The following is a 20,188-nucleotide window of genomic DNA, read 5'->3' as shown; positions in this document are numbered from 1 at the left end:
ACGATCTCGGCTCACTGCAAGCTCCACCCCCTGGGTTCACGCCATTCTCCTGCGTCAGCCTCCCGAGTAGCTGGGAATATAGGTGCCCACCACTACGCCCGGCTAATTTTTTGTATATTTAGTGGAGACGGGGTTTCACCGTTTTAGCCAGGATGGTCTCGATCTCCTGACCTCATAATCCACCCGCCTCGGCCTCCCAAAGTGCTGGGAACCGTGAGCCGCCGCCCCCGGCCTCATTGTGTCATTCTTATGCCTTTGCATTCTCGTAGCTTAACTCCCACTTGGGAGTGATAACATACCATGTTTGGTTTTCCATTCTTGAGTTGACACGTCAGAAAACATTGAAATGAGGGAGGATCTGTGTCTTAGAACCAAGGAAACAGAATTTGAAACTTAATGGATACTCATTGAGTATGTCATGGTTTTTCTAATTCCTTCTACTGTTCGTGAGGTAGATTTTATTCTTCCCATTTTATCAATAATGGAACTCTGTTACTGAGAGGAAGTGTGACTCGCCTAAAGTCAACATAACTTGAAAGGGATAGAGCTGGAGTCGAAACCCAGTTATGCTTCACTTTAGGAATTCCTAAAAGAAAAGGCTCTGATATGTTAATCTGCAGGGATTTTAAAATTTCACTTAGATAAAAGAAAATCAGATGCCAAATGGCTGTTTTGTATTAATACCAGGAATCCAAGTTGTTTTTAGACAAAATAATAATACCTAAAATCTTCTGATCCAGAGGTATGCTCCATTTACATTTGTATATACAAAGAAGTGCTGTGTTGCATTGTCTCAAAAAACACTAGCTCACACTGTACCCATTGTGAAGGGTGCCCCTGAAAGTTATGCAATGCTGTGTGTGATGGAGAATTTTCTGTCCCAGATGCCTGTAGTGTGCCTCGTGACCAACATTAGTGTATGTTGAAGAACTTGGCGTTTGGAGTAGGAACTCCTGGGTACAAAATCTGGGTCTGCCATTGGCTAGTGTAATCTTGGGCCCTTTACTTAACTCTTTTGTGCCTTGGTTTTCTCATTTTCTTACCTTGATATTCCCACTCCCCAATTCAGATAACTAGCATTTTCACCTCATTCATGGATGCTCATTATTGATATTCAGGCTCCAAAAGCTACATAAAGTTACAAAGCCTAGAAAGAGTGCCAGATAATATGAAGTCTCTTCTCAGGCAAGTCCGACCTTTGGGATAGGCGCAACTATGACTTCTTTGAGTCAGTTTTTGTTTTCAATTTAATTTTGATAAACATTGCCCAAAAGCATGAGATATATTATGATTCAGCTGCCTGTGTTTGTCTGTGAGTGCATGTGAAAAGCATATTTTTACACAAATGGACAGTAGATTTGTATATTGTTAAATTACAAATAGTATTCAGTCTTATTGAAATGATGTCTAGAAGATACCTTATTTCTTTATAAAGTCAGTATTTTACAAGATCATAGGTTATGCATTTTTCTGCTAAGTTTCCATTTTAAAAATGTGTATTCAACTTGCATAATATGATTAATTATATAAATGTACATGCTATGGTATTGTTTATGCTTATGTTGAACTTAGAGCTATTACATATTGACTTTTCTCTCTTAAAGTTTTGATTATGTGTGATAGAAATAATTTAGATGTGACAAGATGCATGAGTAAACTACTTTAAATAGTTGGTTTCTCAGAGAAAGGGGAAGACACTCACTTTTTTTCAGCCATCTCAAACATTCTGGCTAATAAATGATGTCTTAGAATTTCTCATAGGTTTAAACATAATAAGCTAAATTACTTTGATATTGGTAGTGTATATTAGGCAACTTATTATTTTTTTGGTATTTTTTAGGATTCTGAGTAACAATAAGATATCCGAGCTGAAGAATGGCTCATTTTCTGGGTTAAGTCTCCTTGAAAGATTGTGAGTATTCTTTAATTATCATCTCATTATTATTTTGTTTAATGCATTTTCATTGTAAATCTTCATTGTAAATCTGTGACTAAATTCCCAGCTATTCAAAATAAAAATTGAGTTTTTCTAACATTTTTTAATGAAAAATTTTAAGAACTTTATTTTAAAAAAGAAGTAACTAAATTCTGTAAAGGGCCAGATAGTAAGTAAATTGCGTTTTCACAGCTGGCCACAAGTGACTCACCTCTGCCGTTGAAGTGTGAATGCAGCCTTAGATAATAAGCCAATGAGTATTGCATAAGACAATACTTAGGAATGATAAATGAATCGACGTGGATGTCTTCCAGTAAATCTTTACTTATACCAGAGGTCATGGACCATACTTTGTTGACTTTAAGTATGCTAGTTTAAAGCATTGATGCTGTGTTGAAATTCTATATCCTGAAATATGTATGCCATGTTAGGCCATTCTTGCATTGCTATAGAGAAATACCTGATACTGGGGTAATTTATAAAGAAAAGAAGTTTAATTGGTTTACGATTCCGCAGGCTGTACAGGAAGCATGGAGCTGGCATCTGCTCGGCTTCTAAGGAGGCCTCAGGAAGCTTACAATCATGGTGGAAGGCCAAACTTGCATGTCACATGGCGAAAACAGAAGCGAGGATGTGATGTCAAGGGGAAAAACACTAGTATAAACTTTGATATTTTATTCAGATGTCTTTAAATGTGATATATTTGTAAATATATATTTTTCTTAGCAATTAGGTCTAGTTTTGCTTATGATGTGTTACAGGTAGCACTCATTTTTGCTTTGGTGAGTTTCAGATAATGGACATTTAATTTACTTGTATTCTGAACGCTGTACCGGGATCACATTTCAAATACCCTGTTAACTCATGCATTTAGGATAAAATTTCACAATACATAAGGGAGCTACACTGTAAGATGTCTCCGTTTCTGTGGAATAACACACTGTCCTCATTTTTCTCAATTCTCTTTGCTCAGCTTCACTTTCTCCACTTCTCTGCGTGGCCTTTTCTTGACTCTTTCACCTTAGAGGCTTCTCCTGTGATTGAACTCGCACAGGACTTCATTACTTAGGTTCCTGATGTGTATGTAAATATATATGATCTAGTGTTCTTCATTTCTTTATGCGTGTCTCTGTTCTTTTCATTTAGATCAGATGTCTTTAAGTTAGGTTATATACGTGTGTGTGTGTGTTTGTGTGTATATATATATATACAGAAACACACAGGAATATTTTTAAATGTTCTTGGCACGGTAGTAGCACTTTATTTCAATATTCCTATCATGTTCCATGTCGTCCATGTGCTTTAGTGTATGCTGATCACACCCTTGGCTTTAGGCCTGCCTAAGCTAAGGGCGGTCCTTCATACACATTCCATGGTCACTGCTGGTTCAGGAATGGACATTTGGGACTATCAGGAAAGCAGACAGGAAGCCTGGGAGGACCTGTCGAAGCAAGACTGCCTTGAATCATTGTGTGAGACAGTACATTCCTATTATGTTTTCTGTTCCCTGCAAAGAAAAGTTACTGGGTTGACAGATACCATTTGCATATAACACAGTGTCAGGCATTTAGTATGTGCTTAGTTGATAATGAAAGGCATTAGTGTGGTCTTCCCTTTCCAAAAGGAAGGATGGCAGGCACTCGTAGTTTATAAATAGTGTCTGTTGTGTTTAGAAACACATTTTATTTTTGGCACCTAAGATTGATGTGGCTGTTCATGCACACCATAAAAAGTATAGACAGCATAGCTAATGTTCTGTGCTGTGGTGTGAATTACTACCCTTTTTGCATCTATTTCTTAATTTCCCTTGTCTTTGACCTTATTTTCAGCCATTTAAAGCTAACAAATCTCTGTACATGTTAGAAACAAATTAATTAGCCATTTTGGGTGATACCAAGGTGCTGTGATTGTTTTCAGCCAGGGGTATGTTTATTCACGAATCCCAAAATACTTCCTCACTCCTTTGTTGGGACCACAGAGATAAATATACAGATAAGGGACTTTGAAAGACCATTTTATTAGTGGGGACTTCAGTGTGAAAACCGAGTGTTGACCCTGGGACCTGGGCCTCTTGTGTTAGAGAACATCTTTATCTACACTGCCCCTAAGCTCAGCACATCCAAAGTACACACACATCAAGGTCCAGACCGGAGTCCTGGCCTCAGTCTGACAGTGTGTGGCGGGGGCATGCATGCCCAGTTGGGACCTGCCTCCCATGCTGTTTTTGTGGGAGAGCAGCCCACTTTAGAAAGAAAGAAAAAGTGATGAAAGGGCTGGGCTCTTTTTTACCCATTTATACTTCTTTTATTTTATTTTAAAGAGGTTTGTTACGTGTCATGAGGGTTTGTTGTACCTATTATTTCATCACTCAGGTATTAAGCCCAGTACCCAAAAGTTATCTATTCTGCTTCTCTCCCTCCTCCCATCTTCCCCGCTCAAGTAGGCCCCAGCCTCTGTTGTTTCCTTCTTTGTGTTCATAAGTTCTTATCATTTAGCTCCCCCTTATAAGTGGGAACATAAGGTAGTTGGTTTTCTGTTCCTGTGTTAGTTTGCTAAGGATAATAAAGGCTGGGCTCTTAGCTGCTCTGCTCTGGCCCTGGGAGGGAGACACTCGGTGCTCCCTGCTCCTCTGGAGGAGCAGACTTTATTCCTTCAGCACTGACTGTTCCTGTGCGTCTCTCCTATGTCTTCCAAATGAAAGCCTGAGAACATTCTTGGCTCCGGTACTGGGGTGGAAGCCACCCCATCCACCCACTCCTGCTTTCAGCAACCCTCAACCAGCGACCGATAGCAGATGGTGGATAACTACCCTGCCTGCCTCACCTGTCAGGTGGGGCCGCCCTGAGGTGCTTTCTCCACTGGCCTCAGAGTCCCCAGGGACTGAGTCTCAGGTACCTCAGTGGTAACGTCTTCAGCAGCTCACCTTGTTGGACATCATTCTCTTTTCTCACTTCCCACTTTTCTGCTGGTGCATTCTGGGGTCACCCCCTGAGTAAAGCCATTATTTTCACCCTTGTCTGGGAGAATTCCACCTAAGAGACACAACTGGCCAAATAACATGTTTGCCATTCAGATTTGCCTAGTTAGAGAGTCCTGAAGATGAGAACAGAATAACCGGACGACTTGAAAATACAGCAGATAGGGTATGGTGTAAAAGACGGTTGGCAGAACAAGGAATTACTCACACCAAGGTCAGAATTTCAAAGCTGTGGCCTTGAAATTATAGGAGCCAAGTCATACAGAATAAAGGTTAGGATTTTGTAGGGTAAGGTGGGGAGAGTGGGCTGAGATAGTAAGAGCTGGCTCCGTTGAACTAATGAACATGACCCATTGTTTGTTTCTGATCTTGCCCCATGTAGGAAGATAGCAGTGTGTGTGTGTGCTTTATTTTCATAGGAATATTTAGGTTGATTTTTTTTTTTTTTTTAATTTAGGAGCTTGGATTTGGGGTTTTATTTTTTATGACAAAGTAACTAAATCCTGATGGTGTCTTGGAAGCTAGTTTTCTAGTTTTGGTTCACCTTTTTGAACATAGTTTGCTTTATTTTAGAAGTCTATGCAGTAGATAACTGATGCATATGTATTGTATCATATTAATTAAAATCGTAAAAAGATGGTTAGCTTAATATGAAGGTTTGGTGCAAGTATTGCCTCAACAGGTAATGAGTCTTTTCCATGTAGCTGATTTAAATTTATTCAACAAACATTTAAGGTGCGCACACTGTGCTAGGCTTGGGGTTTATGGAACATATGCAGTAATGGGGAGAAACATAGGATATACATAGTAAGCAAATCTCAAGTACTGTGGATAAAGAAAATGTGTAAGAGGATACCAAGTTTGGGAGTGCCAGCACTGTGAATGTCTGCGAGTTTGTGGTGGAATGGGATGAAATTTAGAAAGACTTTGAAGACAGAACCTTGCTCATGCTGGATGAGATGGTTTGGGATGGGGTGGAAGCAGGGAGCCGTGTCAGGTCTCAGGTAATTTAAAGCTCATACTCTGTTTAGAGACCAGTGCCCTAGACTAGACCATGGTTATCAAACTTCATGTGCATCAGAATCCCCTGGGGTTTTGTGAAGGCAGAGATTACGGTATCCTGTGCCACACTGAATGTGGGATAGGTTGACTTTTGAGATGGCTGTTAGGCTTCCACATGGAGACATTGAGAACTCAAAGAAGTGGTATGTTTGGGCTAGAGTTACAAATTTGAGTCTAGGGACTTAAAGCTGTAGATGGTGATGAGATTGTCTAGGAGAAAGCATAGTGTGGGAAGAAGTGGGTGTGGGTCAAGCACCAGTTGGTCCGATAAATACAGTGAGGATTCATTCATTCAATGAAGTGATTGAGAGTTACTGTGTGTTGGACATTTTTCAAGTGAAGAAGACAAGTAGTGTACACTCTCTGCCTCATGTAACTTAACAGTCTAGTGATTGAGAAAATAGACAATAAATGAAACGATTCAGACAAGTAAAGAAGATGATAGATTGTGGTAAGTGCCATGGAGCAAAACCAATTAGGAGGGGGCTCTCTGTGGGTTGAGGGTGTCCTCGGTTTTCAGTAGAGTGTGCAGGGACACCTCCTCCAGGAGGAAAGCACAGAACAGAGGGAGGTGAGGGAGGGAAGTGAGCAGACATCTGCAGGAAGAGTACATAGGCCCTTCTGTCACATCAACCAAGGGGTCTTTTTTTTTCCCCAGGTAATTGATGTTTTGGATCCTTGATCTTATAGGTCTCATACTGTTAGGCTGCTAAACTTGCATAATAATAGTCCCTGTTGGCCTACTTGCTAAAAAACATTATTATTAGAAGATGGAATTATCTAAAATTTATACTTCCTATAAATTTTCCTCTTGGTTTTTTGATAGATACCTTTTTTAGATTGTTTTTAGCACTGAGACTTTTATATCCATCATCCATGTGTTCACTAGTCTATAGCCTTCCTTCCTTCCTTCTTCCATCTCTATCTTTTTTTTTTTTTTGAGACAGAGTCTTACTCTGTTGCCCAAGCTGGAGTGTGGTGGCATGATCTTGGCTTCCTGCAACTTCCACCTCCCAAGTTCAAGCGATTCTCCTGTCTCAGCCACCCAAGCAGCTGGGATTACAGGTGTGTGCCACCACACCCAGCTAATTTTTGTATTTTGGGTAGAGATGGGGTTTCACCACGTTGGCCAGGCTGGTCTCAAACTCCTGACCTCAAGTGATCTGTCCGCCTCAGCCTCCCAAAGTGCTGGGATTACAGATGTGTGAACCACCGCACCGAGTCCCATCTCTGTCTTCGTTTTATGGAATTGACATTCTTGTATTGTGCTATATATTTTGTTACCAGTATTTAGTGACATACCTCCCCCATATTCTCTTCACTGCTGACACTACAGTTGCCTACTGGTCAGTGTGTTTGACTTTCCAATGTTAATCCTACCCCTAGGCCGCTAAGGTAATTCAGCATCTCTTCCAGCTATTGACAGAGTCTGTCCTAGTCAATAAGAGATGAGGAGCAGAGCAGCCTGCTGTGGGGTTTGGAGAAAGATTTCCTAGCTTTTAAGGAGAGGTACGAGAAGAAAGTCTGTTCCTTTTTATGACTTTGTGGTTGGAGGTGATTTCTGAACCTGGGATACCATAGGCTCAGCCTGAAGGCACAGTTACATTCTGAGGATGGTGGATCTGAGAGATGCGTGGAACCAACCACAAAGGCCTGACTTCTTGATTTCCTGTAATGCCAGATAATTACTTTTGTGATTGTTCAAGCCATTTTGAGTTGAGGGTTCTGATACTTGTAGTTAAAGGCATCTTACCTGGTATACTTCATGTTCTTTCCTATAGGAGGTAGTTCTTTTACCAAGAACTTAAAATATTCCTTTAGTTCTATTTAAGCAATTATTGTGCTTTTTTCATTTATGCTTTAATGATCCAATGTATTCAGATTTAGCCATACATCCTGAAGTCAGACTCCTGTTTACTAGGGAAGCTGTGGGTTGGTGGGGGAAAAAGGGGATGTTAAATGAGAGAATCTGACTATAAATATCTTTTGGCAATGCTTGATTAATATGGCTATTATTAAATGTTATATAATATGTCAAGAATTTTTTATTAAAGAAAACGTACATCTTTAAATCATATTACAGTGCTCAGTTATTCATGAGAGGTATTTTGTAGAAACATATGCAGTTCATCATTGACTCCAAATTGATGTACTGCTTTAGCTAACTAACTCAGTTCCTGTTGTAGATGCTGTTTAAAATCTGAAAAGGGAAACGTGTGTTTTTAAAAAATGGAACTGACATTATATATTTCTATTTACAGAGCTTTTTAGCTTATGCAAAACAAGTCAAAAACATACAGGTTGAATTTTTTCATAAAATAATCTTATCTTGTTGAAATGAGGGTCAGTTGGGGAGTTGCAGGGAGGGAGATAGGAACTAATAAGTAAGTCCTGATGATTAACTGTACCTCCTGGGACTTAAAATGCTGGGGATCAAACATTTGATTATGAAGAATTTTAAACATACGGAAGAATTGAAAGGGCAATGCCATAATCTTTCATATTACCAATTTACTTACCCAGTTCAACAATTCAGTAATTATTAAGAATATGCCATCGTTTTTTCTTCTATATTGGAATATGCTTACATATGTTTGGTGAATTATTCGAAGGTCAACTACAGATGTCATGACTGTCTACTTTTATGGAGAAATGGAAATGATTAGTAATGAGATACCGCATTCTCCACGTTATCTGGCTTTATGAACAGCCTTGTAATTTTGTAGCCAACCATAACTTACTAAAAATATTTTTATAGAAAGGTTAATGTAATTCTGTCTCCTAGCCTTGGTGTATTCTTTCGTCCATGAACATATCCATCCACACACTCTATATTGTGTGTCACCCCCTCGCTGAGTGGAGCAGAGCCTGCTCTTGTGGAACCTGTGGTCTCTCAGTGAGGACAGTTGAAGTAACTGAGGTGCACTTGGTACAGCGTGATAAGAGATGCCACAGGACAGGGCGCAGAGTGCTGTTGTTCACAAGTTTTTTTTTTTGAGACGGAGTCTTGATCTGTCGCCAAGCTGGAGTGCGGTGGTGTGATCTCGGCACTGCAGCCTCTGCCTCCTGGGTTCAAGCCTCAGCCTCCTGAGTAGCTGGGACTACAGGTGTGCGCCATCACGCCTGGCTAATTTTTGTATTTTTAGTAGAGACGGGGTTTCACCATGTTGGCCAGGCTGTTCTCGAACTCCTGATCTCAGGTGATCCACCTGCCTCGGCCTCCCAAAGTGCTGGGATTATAGGCGTGAGCCAATGCGCCCAGCATTCACAGGTATTTTTCTGGAGGAAGGAATGGAGTTTCACCCAAGGCCTCAAGGATACGTGGGTGAAGAGGGATGGAGGTGAAGTTGTGAGTTGGAGATTGAGATGCGTTCAGGACAGGGAATCCCAAGTGCAGAGGTCTAGAGGTGAGAGGAAATACCCTTTCTAGAAACATCTTGCAGTATGACTGGTATAAATGAAGAGAGACAGGGTGAGTGTTAAGGGAAGGTGTTGAGCAGATGGGAAGTGAGAGTTGGTGAAGGAAAGGTGGGCAAGGCTGGGACCACGGGTATCCTTGGAAGTTACCTTAACGCACCTGAACTTCCTTCTGAGGGACTGTGGATCTTTTTGAGGTTTAAATCAGAGCAAAGTCTTGATCAGGTCTGTGTTTAAAAAGATCACTTCAAATGGAGAATCGGACACAGGTGAGAACTTGTGTGGTTTACAACCTGGGCTAGGGTGATGATGATGACCAGGACAGAGAGGCAGTGACTTTGAGGCCTAATTGGAAGGGTGGGGGTTACCACATAAAATAACTTAGTTTTTCAAACATATGGAGAAGTTGAAAGAAAGTTATCTCCAGCAACTCAACTTGATCATGGCCAACTTTTCAGTGTGTTTGGTTTACCTGTTTTCCTATTATTTTAGCTATAAATTTACTTGGTTCCTTTAGTAAATCTCCACTGTGTCAGTCAGAAAGATACACTTAAATCCTGGCCACTTATTAAAATCAACAACTTGGCCGAATTTCTTAATCTTTATGTGCATGAGTTTCCTCATCTGAAACAATGACACTGCCTCCTAGGGTGATTATAAGGTCTTAATGGTCTGATAAGTGATAGACACCAACTCACTATATTTACTGGTTTGTGCATCCAAACAGCCCAGAGTTAGAGGTGGATTTCAGGCTTGGCTGGATCCAGGGGCTCACCATTTTTCTCGTTTCCCATCTGTTGGCTTCTTCAGATTGTAGCAACAGGGCCGTTAGCAGCTCCAGACTCAGATCTTGACCTCTTATCAAACCAGTGGGAATGTCTATGCTCATCCCTCCCTCTCCCACAAGTCCTAGGTTTAGTTAGACCAAAGTCGTATAATTGCTAAGACCAGAGTATTTGAAAAATCTGCACAAGGTTGGTCAGGTGTCATGCCTGAAGGGATGGTGTTGAAAATTTGGGGGTACTACCTGTACCATATGGAGAAGTAGAGGTGTTTCCATCTTAAAGCAATGGAGAAGGCTGCTCCCCCAACCAAAAGAAAATTAAACATTAAATAATTGATAGCAATAATTATAGTGTTATTAAATTTTGGAATCCTTGATAGTTGCAAACCTTTCCCACCTTCACTCATTGTAGAAGTTTGGAATTTTTGAATGGCTTCTGGTCTACACCTTTCACTATTTGTCCTCAGAATGGAGTGGGCAGAGTTTCCTTAGGTCTCTGCTTGGCCTGGGTACCGGCTGGTTCACATTACCAGGCTGATTTCCCCAGAAGCAGGTCCCCAGGTGAGCTTTCAGTGTAGTGATTTGGTTGGGAGGTTTGCCCAACAGCCCTCATATTTGGTACTGGACCATGAGACGCAAGGGCAGCCGTTAGGGCAGTGTCTTCCCAGGCAGCTCCTGCGGCAGGCAGCTGATACTGGGGACTGCTGGGAGCCAGCAAGGAGCACACTCAGACCCCCCAGCCCCCTGGGATATCCTGTTTTCATTCCAGGTGAGGACTCTTCCTATGGCCATTCATGCCCTTTACCTCTGACCTTCATGGGTTGACTCTCAGGAGGTGCCCAAGAGAAAGCTGCATGGGGAAGAGTTGCAGGTAGAGGGACTGCAGGCGTGAGCGCTGCCATGCTGTCAGTGTCTACTGCAGCAGGTGCCTGGAGATAAGGGATGCTGGGGCCATGGCATTCACAGCAGGGAACTTATCCTCTGCATAATATTCCTCTTTCTGTTGAAATTGCTACACCAGGGACCGTCTTTTTACTCCAAGTTAAGAGGAGAACTTAAACACTGGTTGGAAGAGAGAAGGATGGGATTTGTGAGTTTACCTGACTACTAAGACCTTTTCTGACCATTTAAATGTATTTCGTGAAGCTTCCTGACTTTTTCAGATCTTTTCAGATACTTTATTTAGAAAATGTCTTAGAGGCCAGGGTGCAAAACCCCAAAAAGTTAGGGTAGTTACCAGCATTGACAAAGCTGTTTTCTTCTTGTGGAATATGAAGTTTTCAGAATTCTGATTAATGAAATACCTACCCAGTGATGGTAATCAGAGCATAGATTTTATACTGGTGTTTAATAATCATTTTGTTTTTTAAAATATTGTGAAGTATTGGGGGTGGTGGTTGCAGGGAGTTTGGTTTTATTTAGAAAAACCTGGCTCTGATTGTGGGGAGGTGGTAGAATTGCAGTCCCAACCTTAGCTACTGAGGAGTGCCTGTGTGTTAAAATGAGGATTAGATGCAAGAAAGACCATAGAATTTGCTGGAGGTCACAGTGATCCCAGGATTCACAGGTTGCATTTCCAGAGCAACGTTCTTGAGAATTTCTAGTCCAGTCTCTATCACCAGGTGTTAAACAGCACACATAGCTTGGAAGCCACAGTGCCACTGACACATCAAAAATGCTGGGCTTACGGTAAATGAATGACAACCACTGCTGCTGAGCAAAGGGCCAACCTCCTCAGGATGCTTTTGTGAAATTTCTGGGGAATCCAACTAGTAACCAACTTTGATGTTGTAACTTTTTCTATATTGCTAGAATGAGCCTGAGAGAAAACTCACATGTTATGAGGCATGCCATGTATAGCAGTTCACTTTCATTAGCTGGTGGGACAGTAACGTTGAATGTGCCTGTGATTGGATGGAAGAAAACACGTGAATCTGTGCTCATTGCAGCCAGACTTCCTTGGAGCATAGGTAGAGAAGGGATGCCCGCTGCTTTCTGATTTGGAGAGGATGGAGAAGGCAAACTGAGGATTTTCCTCTAAATAATTTAGACTGCCTGGGCACGGGTGAGCATGGCCATGACGGAGCAATTGTTATTAAAGAGCCTAGCACAGTGTTGTGCTGACAGGTGGCGCCAGTGGTCCAGGGTCTACTTCCAGGAAGGTCTTGTACATTTCAAGTAAGTAAGGGACTAAGGAACCCTGGAGGTACTGGTTACTTTGGCTTGTACTGAGCATTTCTCTACATGTCTGTTTGGTTTCACCAATGTCATGTGCATCCTTAAATGAAGAATAGTGTTGGAAGCTTACACGTGGCTGTATAAAGAATGGGCAAGGTTGCCACTGTTATGTAAGGATGTCAGAAGAAAAACTGAAAAGCGTTTCAGTTCTCCATATGGCTTCAGCTTCCCTGGGAGATGAGCAGAGGCCACTCTGGCTTCAGTAGACAAGGTTGTAGGTGAGTCTTGACAAACAGACCCAGCTGAGGGTGTCCCATAAAGCGGAAGTGTGGGCCTGCCACTGGCAAGAGTGTGGTCTAGGGAAGGGGACTGTATTTAGACTGTCAGCTCTCCACAGAGGTCTAGCCAAACACTTGTATAGGCAACTGGCGAGTCCCCAGCTGAGCCCAGCCACCAGGAGGGGAGCTGTAGCCATAGTGTGTCTGCAAAACCACAGGAGTAGAGGGATGTGGCTGAGACATTCACTGCTGCCTCCCACCCCCAAGTGGTAGTGCTCTTGCATGGACGTGCCAGCATACTTGAGAAGAATAGGATAAATGGTGATTGCTATCAAATACCACATGGTAGGAAGCTTGTGCATCTTTGCTTTGAGCTATATATTGTGTTTTATCACACATTTATTTTATATCCTCACCTCATAGAAAACCTAACCGTAGGCTGAGTGCAGTGGCTCATGCCTGTAATCCCAGCACTTTGAAAGACTGAGGCAGGCAGATTGCTTGAGGTCAGGAGTTTGAGATCAGCCTGGCCAACATGGCAAAACCCTGTCTCTACTAAAAATACAAAAAATTAGCCGGGTATGGTGACAGGCGCCTGTAACCCTCTCTACTCAGGAGGCTGAGGCACGAGAATTGCTTGAGCCTGGGAGGTGGAGGTTGCAGTGAGTCAGGATCACGCCACTGCACTCCAGCCTGGGTGACAGAGCAAGACTCCGTCTCAAATGACAACAACAACAACAACAACAAAAAACCCCAAAAACCTAAATATAGAAGGCCAGGGAAGGGAAAATATATGAACAACCAAAAGACATGAATTTTAGAGTGTATATTTTTGAAGATGGTTTTTTAAAATTCAACTGAATGATGTTTGTCACAATTGTAATTAGATTTACTTTGATATTCAAAGTATGGCATACTAAAGAAGAAATTATAGAAATAATGTATATGATTGTAGTTCAGTGATAATTGTGAAGTTGAATAATATTAGGTCACATATTTCTTTTATGACGTATATTTTTATTATTTTATTGACCAAACCAAAAGGCTTTGGAGCCAGATTTGTCAAATTTGCATTCTGACTCTCCCTTTTACTACTGGGTTGATCTTGGCTTAACCCTTTTGGCTTCAGTTTCCTCCTCTTATTATTATACTTTTGTTTTTTTTGTATAGCAGGTAAGTGTATTGTGCCTGAATACTTGTTGCAGTGTTGATATGTGAATAACTTTTATTTTATTTTTAACAGGGACCTCCGAAACAATCTTATTAGTAGTATAGATCCAGGTGCCTTCTGGGGACTGTCATCTCTAAAAAGATTGTAAGTGTTTGAATTGCTTGCTTACGAGTTTGAATTGTTGCTTATATAAATAGCTGTCAACTTACTTTAACATGATGAAAAATGGACATTTAATAATTTTTTGAGCTTTACCTGGCCAGGTCCCTGATACAGAAAGAGGCTGGGCACAGTGGCTCACGCCTGTATTCCCAGCACTTTGGGAGGCTGAGGCGGGTGGATCACCTGAGGTCAGGAATTCAAGACCAGCCTGGCCAAGGTGGTGAAACCCCGTCTCTACTAAAAATACGAAAATGAGCTGGCATGGTGGTGTGTGCCTGTAGTCCCAGCTACCTGGGAGGCTGAGGCAGGAGAATCACTGGAACCTGGGAATGGGAGACTACAATGAGCTGAGATTGTGCCACTGCAAGACAGAGCGAGACTCTGTCTCAATAAAACAAAAAGAAAGAAAAACAAAGAGTATTTTATATAAGTAGCTGAGAAGGTGGTTGATTTGCACAGTGGTTTGATTTGTTTGGTGGTGGATGGCTGTGTTACTCTTATGCTACTAAAATCATTACCATGTCGGCTTTGCCGGCGCACATAATCTGTAGACGATTTTCAAATTATGAATCCATTCAAACTGTGTCTGTTGTAAATGCCATATAAACAGAGGTACCTTTTAAGTAATGATTTAAAGTCTTGCTATTTTCATGTGTATCTATATATTACAATTTTAAAACCTAAGGACCAGTTTTTATTGCTTCTGAAGCTAAACAACTCCCCTATCTCCTATACGAAGCTCCTTTCACAGTTGCTGTCTGAGCAGGCCCACATTTGAGAAGCGGCTCTACACAAAAGCCATGAGGACTGTCTCTCCATCCTTTATGCTTTCTGAAAGCGTTTACTGAGCACTTGCCACTTACCATGCCCTGACTTCTTCGGAAGATCTTGCAGACCCTTGGGGTGGGGAGGATAGATAATGTAGGGGAAGAAAAATAATTTTCCCTCTACCCTTCTAATTTCTCAGCTTGGACCTCTAACAAAAGACAGATTAACAGGAGAAAAACAAGTTTATTGAGAAAACTCAGGAAAAGAGTAATTCTCAAAAGAGGTGGCTTAGAACTCTGGCTTATGTAGCATTTCAACAAGGAGCAATACATTTTTAGAGAAGTGACAAGACAAAGGAAAAGGACCTTGAGTCTCTTAAGGGAAAGCAAATTGTGGGAAGGCAAATATATTGGAGACTAATGGTAGATAAAGTCCAGTTAGTAATGTTTGTTATGTAGATTCCTTTGGTGCCTTGTCTAGGCTGATAAGGGTCCAAAGCCCTCTCCTGGGAGGAACTTTTGTCCTTTCTGGTGGAGAGGGGAGGAGGGACACCTTTGTAAATTTATGTCCTGCTTTTAGTCAGATAGGGTAGAGCAGAGAACTTTTCTTGTATCTATCTGCTTTTCAATTGCCTGTAGCTGGAAATAATCCTTATGCCAACATGACATGTTTTGGGTGGCATGTTCTGCTACCCTTCAGTCGTTAGTGAAAATACGTCTGAACGCACACACAGGCGCTGTAACAGGTTAGATCATAAACAGAACCTGCTAGGGAAAGGAGAGAGCACCTGCAATGGGAACAGCCTGCCATGAGAGCCACTGACGTGTTTAGATTTGAACTTTCTCCCAAGGAATGAATATGTATTAAAAAGGCCTTCCAAACAGGGTGGGCGCAGGTGTGCAAGAATGTATCTCTTGGGACAGTAGTTTAGTTCTTTGATCAGAGCAGAAAGTAGAAAGAGGGAAAAGAATATTGGGAGATCAGGCCGGTCAGGGACTGGGATTTTGAAGACCTGCTATATTAAAAATGTTTAATCTGTTCTTTTGACAGTGCGGGGCTACCAGAACTTTTTTATTATGGAATTGACGTGATCAGATTTGTATTTCAGAGTATTCCTGATAGCAATAAGGAGAAACCACATAAATGTAGGGAGACCAGGGACAAAAGATCAGGGAGAGAGACCAGATCCATGGTTTTATTTTCCTTATAGTCATCCTTTTGGTGGGCTCTGTGTCTTGTTTTTTGGGGTTCTTATATACTTCTTTAAGTTTTCTTTTTTTTTCCGCCTCCAGTGTGTGTGGGTATTTTTTTTATGTCTTACTGGTTTTCTGTAGTATTTGCATCATAACACTGGGTATGGCTGCTTTTAGTTTAATTATGCCATGACTTAAATGTTGACATTGACTTTCCATCTTAATACTTTTGACATCGTCTGTCTTATTTAGTCGTTTAAAACCTATTTCTTTATTTTTTTTTTTAACTTTTTAGTTCAGGGGTACAAGTGCAGGTTTGTTGCGTAGGTAAACTTGTGCCATGGGGGTTTGTTACACAGATTATTTCATCACCCAGGTATTAAGCCTAGTACTCATTAGTTGTTTTTCTTGATCCTCTCCCTCCTTCCACCCTCCTCCCTCCAAAAGGCCCCAGTGTGTGTTGTTCCCTCTATGTATCCATGTGTTCTCATCATTTACCTCCCGCTTAGAAGTGAGAACGTGCAGTATTTGCAAAACCTATTCCTTTTTATTGTAAAATCCAATTGTAAAAATTGGTCATGCTCTTTTTTGCAAAAGATTTTTTTTTATTGCTTTTGCAAGTAAAATATCTTTCATCTAAAAACCTATCGTCTGTAGCTTTCCTCCTATTTTTCTCTCTCAGGCAGCCTTAAGGGTCAGAATTCTGTAAGATTAAGAAAGGTAGGAGTTAAAGGATTTTCTCTTTGTCTTTTAAAATTAGTTACAATTTGAATCAGTAGGGAATTTCCTACCATAGTTTTTGCTGGGGGTGAGTGGTGGTCTCCTGTGTTTATCAGTCTGTCTGCGCTCATTAGAAACTCAGGGCCATCTGGAGGAGATCTTGCTACTAATCAGTTTTCTTCTCTTCTGCCCATTCTGCACTTTATTATTTTCTAGTGAAGACTTTTAATGGAACAAGTTAGAAAAGCTGGCTGGTCTGGGGTAGGTGGTAGTGGAGATTGGAGTTCTAGGTAAGGAAGGTAAGCATTATAGGAGGGTAGACATTAGGCATCAGATTGCATGGGACCAAGCCAGGTTTAGAGTTCAGTAAAAGGACTATCAACCAGGTGTAGCAGCGTAATCAAAATGATAAGGTGGTGATCGGTGTCAGTTCAGTTCAACAAAAATTCATGAAGTTCATCCTGTGAGCCCAACTGTGAGCAAGGGTCTGGAGACACACAGGTAAATCAGGAAGCTCTCGAGGAGTTTGCAGTCTAATGGAATTACGAACACCGACCAAGAGTCTGGATATGGAATTGAAATACATTTACAAAGAGATGAAGCAGTAGCTAGAGTTTAGCTGCTAAGAGTCTTGGAAGTTGTTAGGACTCAGCTATCCAGACACAGGCAGGGGATATGGAGCATGACCGTAAACAGGCTGCACCTCCAGACACAGGTCATTAGGGAGTTGAGGGGCAGCAGCAGGTGAGCATGATTTATAGCAGTGACTCACTTTCTTTGTGCTTCTGTCTGTGCTGGAGTCAGTTTTGCACCCATGCCTAGGAACATGAGTCCTCAAGTAGAAAGCAAAAGTGTAGGGGCTAAGATCTACCCTATCAGAAACTCGGGCTGATGCTGAATGATTTTTATTTCAACCATCCCTCCCAGTGATTCTGATGTGAAAGTATGAGAACTTTTAGAATATTTTTCCCTGCAATCTATTTTTTTCCCTCAATGGGAGGAATGTGAAATAATACTGTCAGGTCCTTTTCTTATCCCCTCCCTCTGTGTTCCACACTGTTGTAGTCACAGCTTTTAGGTAATAAAAATATTAATGCTGATTTTATCTCTATGCTGAGATATAGTTTGAAGAAAACCTATTGTTAATAAAAAGCAGTTTCTTCAGTATGTTTTAGATACTGCAGACTATCTTAATGCTGATTTTATCTCTATGCTGAGATATACTTTGAAGAAAACCTATTGTTAATAAAAAGCAGTTTCTTCAGTATGTTTTAGATTCTGCAGACTATCTTAGATTCTCCATCTAGTTATTTATCTTTCAGTAAATAATCTCTCAAGCACTGCCATCCAAAATGAATTTTAAAAATTCTCATTCAGGAGTATTTAATATAATTACTGATATTGTACCAGGCATTGCCTTAGTAGTCTTTCACTGTGTTACACGTTAAGTAGTCTCTTGTGTTCTTGCTTAGGAAGGTAATTGCCATTTATAATATTCTTCCCACTAGAAGATACATTCTTAATTCCAAACAGATGACTTATAATTAACTTAGGGTACACAGCTTGCAAGCTGAAGAAGTCCTGTATGTAAACTCAACGGGATATAAAGATATTTGACAGTAGTGATGTTTGCTAGTTGCTCATAGATACAGACCGTTTTTCTTATGGGTTCTTAAGTCATTAATTTCAGTTGTGCATCTCCCTTAACAAGAACACATAAAGTATTTTTGTTATTAAACCATGCCTTTGCCTTTAGTTTATAAATAATTTGATTTAGGAAGTTGAAGTGGCTTTCTGAAGAATATACTATCAGAAGTAGGTGAACCCTAGATCCATCAGTTTCTCTTGTTTTATCAACGAATTTAAGTTGATTCTCAATCCAAATAACAACCCATTATCAATATCTAAATACCATTTTAAGTAGGTATAGCTGTAATGAAATTGTTTCCCAGAGAATCAATGGTGATTGCACCACTTAAAGCTCAGAATTGAGACAAGATTATAAATAGAGCCTAGATATGCTTGTTTATGCAACAATTTACAAGAAGATGCCTAATTTTTGTTAACAGTGAAACCCAGAATTAAAAGGAAAATCAACTGGGATTTAAAAGAAAAAGTCCCACGTGATTAAATACTTAGGAGCTACAGAAAAACGAGGACAGATAAAGACTTATATTGCTTAAGATTCTTTTATCAAATGTTGCCATAACAGAGGGAAGGCAGAACTATGAAATTATTGAAATTAGGATTACCTAAGGTGCTGTATTAGGCCTCTCCAGAGAGAGAGGACCAGTAGGATGTATGAGAGGGGATTTATTAGGGGGAATTGGCTTACATGATCACAGAGGGAGAGAGGTCCCACAATAGGCTTTCTGTAAGCTGGAGGGCCTATGAATCCTGTAGCATAGCTCAATCAAAGTCTGGAAGCCTTAGAACTGGAGAAGCTGACCTTGCAGTCCCCAGTCCAAGGCCGAAGGCATGAAAGCCCCAGGAAGCCCACTGATGCAAGTTCCAGAGTCCAAAAGACAAAGAACCTGTAGCCTGATGTCCAACAACAGGAGGAGAAGACATCCTGCTGTGGAAGGGGAGAGAGAGAGCAGAGAGAGACAAGCCCTCTCTTTTGCCTGTTTGTCCCAGCAGGGCCCCAGCTGACTGGATGGTGCCCACCCATACTGAGGGCAGGTCCTTCCTGTCTCTGTCCACTGACTCCCGCACCAATCTCCCCTGGAAACGCCCTCACAGACACACCCAAACCAATGCTTCACCAGCCATTGAGGCCTCTCAATCCAGCGAAGTTGACACCTAAAATTAAACCATCTCATTTTAACTTTTGAAATAGTCAAGGAAAAAAAACAAACGAGTTAGGTACCTGATTCAAACATTATGTTCTTAGAATTTCTGGTGAGACTACTACATGACCAAGTACACAGTTTGGAATCCAATACTTTTAGTTTGAAATGGATGGTGCAGATCGCCTTACTGAAGAGTAACTCGAAGAATGCGTACCTCTCTATGACAGAGAATAATAGGGACATTGGAGGCAATATGATGAAAATATTTTTGAAAGTTTGACTTAGGGAGCTTATTCTAATTATTCTGTCAGAATTCAAAGTGTGATGAATTATTCCAAGTCTAGCAACTAATAAAACTTAAGATTCATTGTTTTAGGGTTTTCTTGCATAGGGCTAAGTCCACTGAAAACAATGATGCGAGTCATGCCATGCCAGGTGTAAGTTACAGATATTGTCAGTGGTTATCTCCCAACATAAAGTTTTTACTTTTAAACCAGTGCAGGTGTCTGATTAAATGTAAAAATAAAATTGTGTTCATTGTCCTTGATGTCAAGCAAAGTAAATAAAGAGGGATAGAACAAAATATTAACTAAAACTTTTACATAGGTAAAAAGAAAAAGGTTTCATTGAGGAGAAGTAAAAAATATTTAGAAGGTAATATTTAATAGGAAATAGAAATGAGGAGTGATTGCAAAAATAATTGGGCCATATCATAGATATTGTTAAAGTAATTTGGCTAGGAGTCTGAAT

At 40.8% G+C, this 20,188-nt stretch overlaps 1 protein-coding gene across 5 annotated transcripts in view; it reads left to right on the top strand.

Moving 5' to 3' along the window:
* ADGRA3 (adhesion G protein-coupled receptor A3) overlaps positions 1 to 20,188 on the top strand; it is a 128,691-nt gene that overhangs the window by 40,383 nt on the left and 68,120 nt on the right. For 4 of the 5 annotated variants that reach the window (XR_007096381.1, NM_145290.4, XM_047449703.1 and 1 more), the window contains exons 2-3: positions 1,841 to 1,912; positions 13,876 to 13,947. Coding sequence is in view for 2 of the 5 variants with exons in the window: in NM_145290.4 (NP_660333.2) it covers positions 1,841 to 1,912; positions 13,876 to 13,947 (144 nt within the window). In the remaining 3 variants the exon portion in view is untranslated. Of the gene's footprint in view, positions 1 to 393; positions 412 to 1,840; positions 1,913 to 13,875; positions 13,948 to 20,188 lie in introns of those variants that run through there. The other variant, XM_047449704.1, reaches the window with a different exon arrangement.

The sequence above is a fragment of the Homo sapiens genome, chromosome 4 (assembly GCF_000001405.40).
Source record: "Homo sapiens chromosome 4, GRCh38.p14 Primary Assembly".
Taxonomy (NCBI): domain Eukaryota; kingdom Metazoa; phylum Chordata; class Mammalia; order Primates; family Hominidae; genus Homo; species Homo sapiens.
Note: the sequence above shows the minus strand (reverse complement) of the source record. Positions and strands in the feature narration are given on the sequence as shown.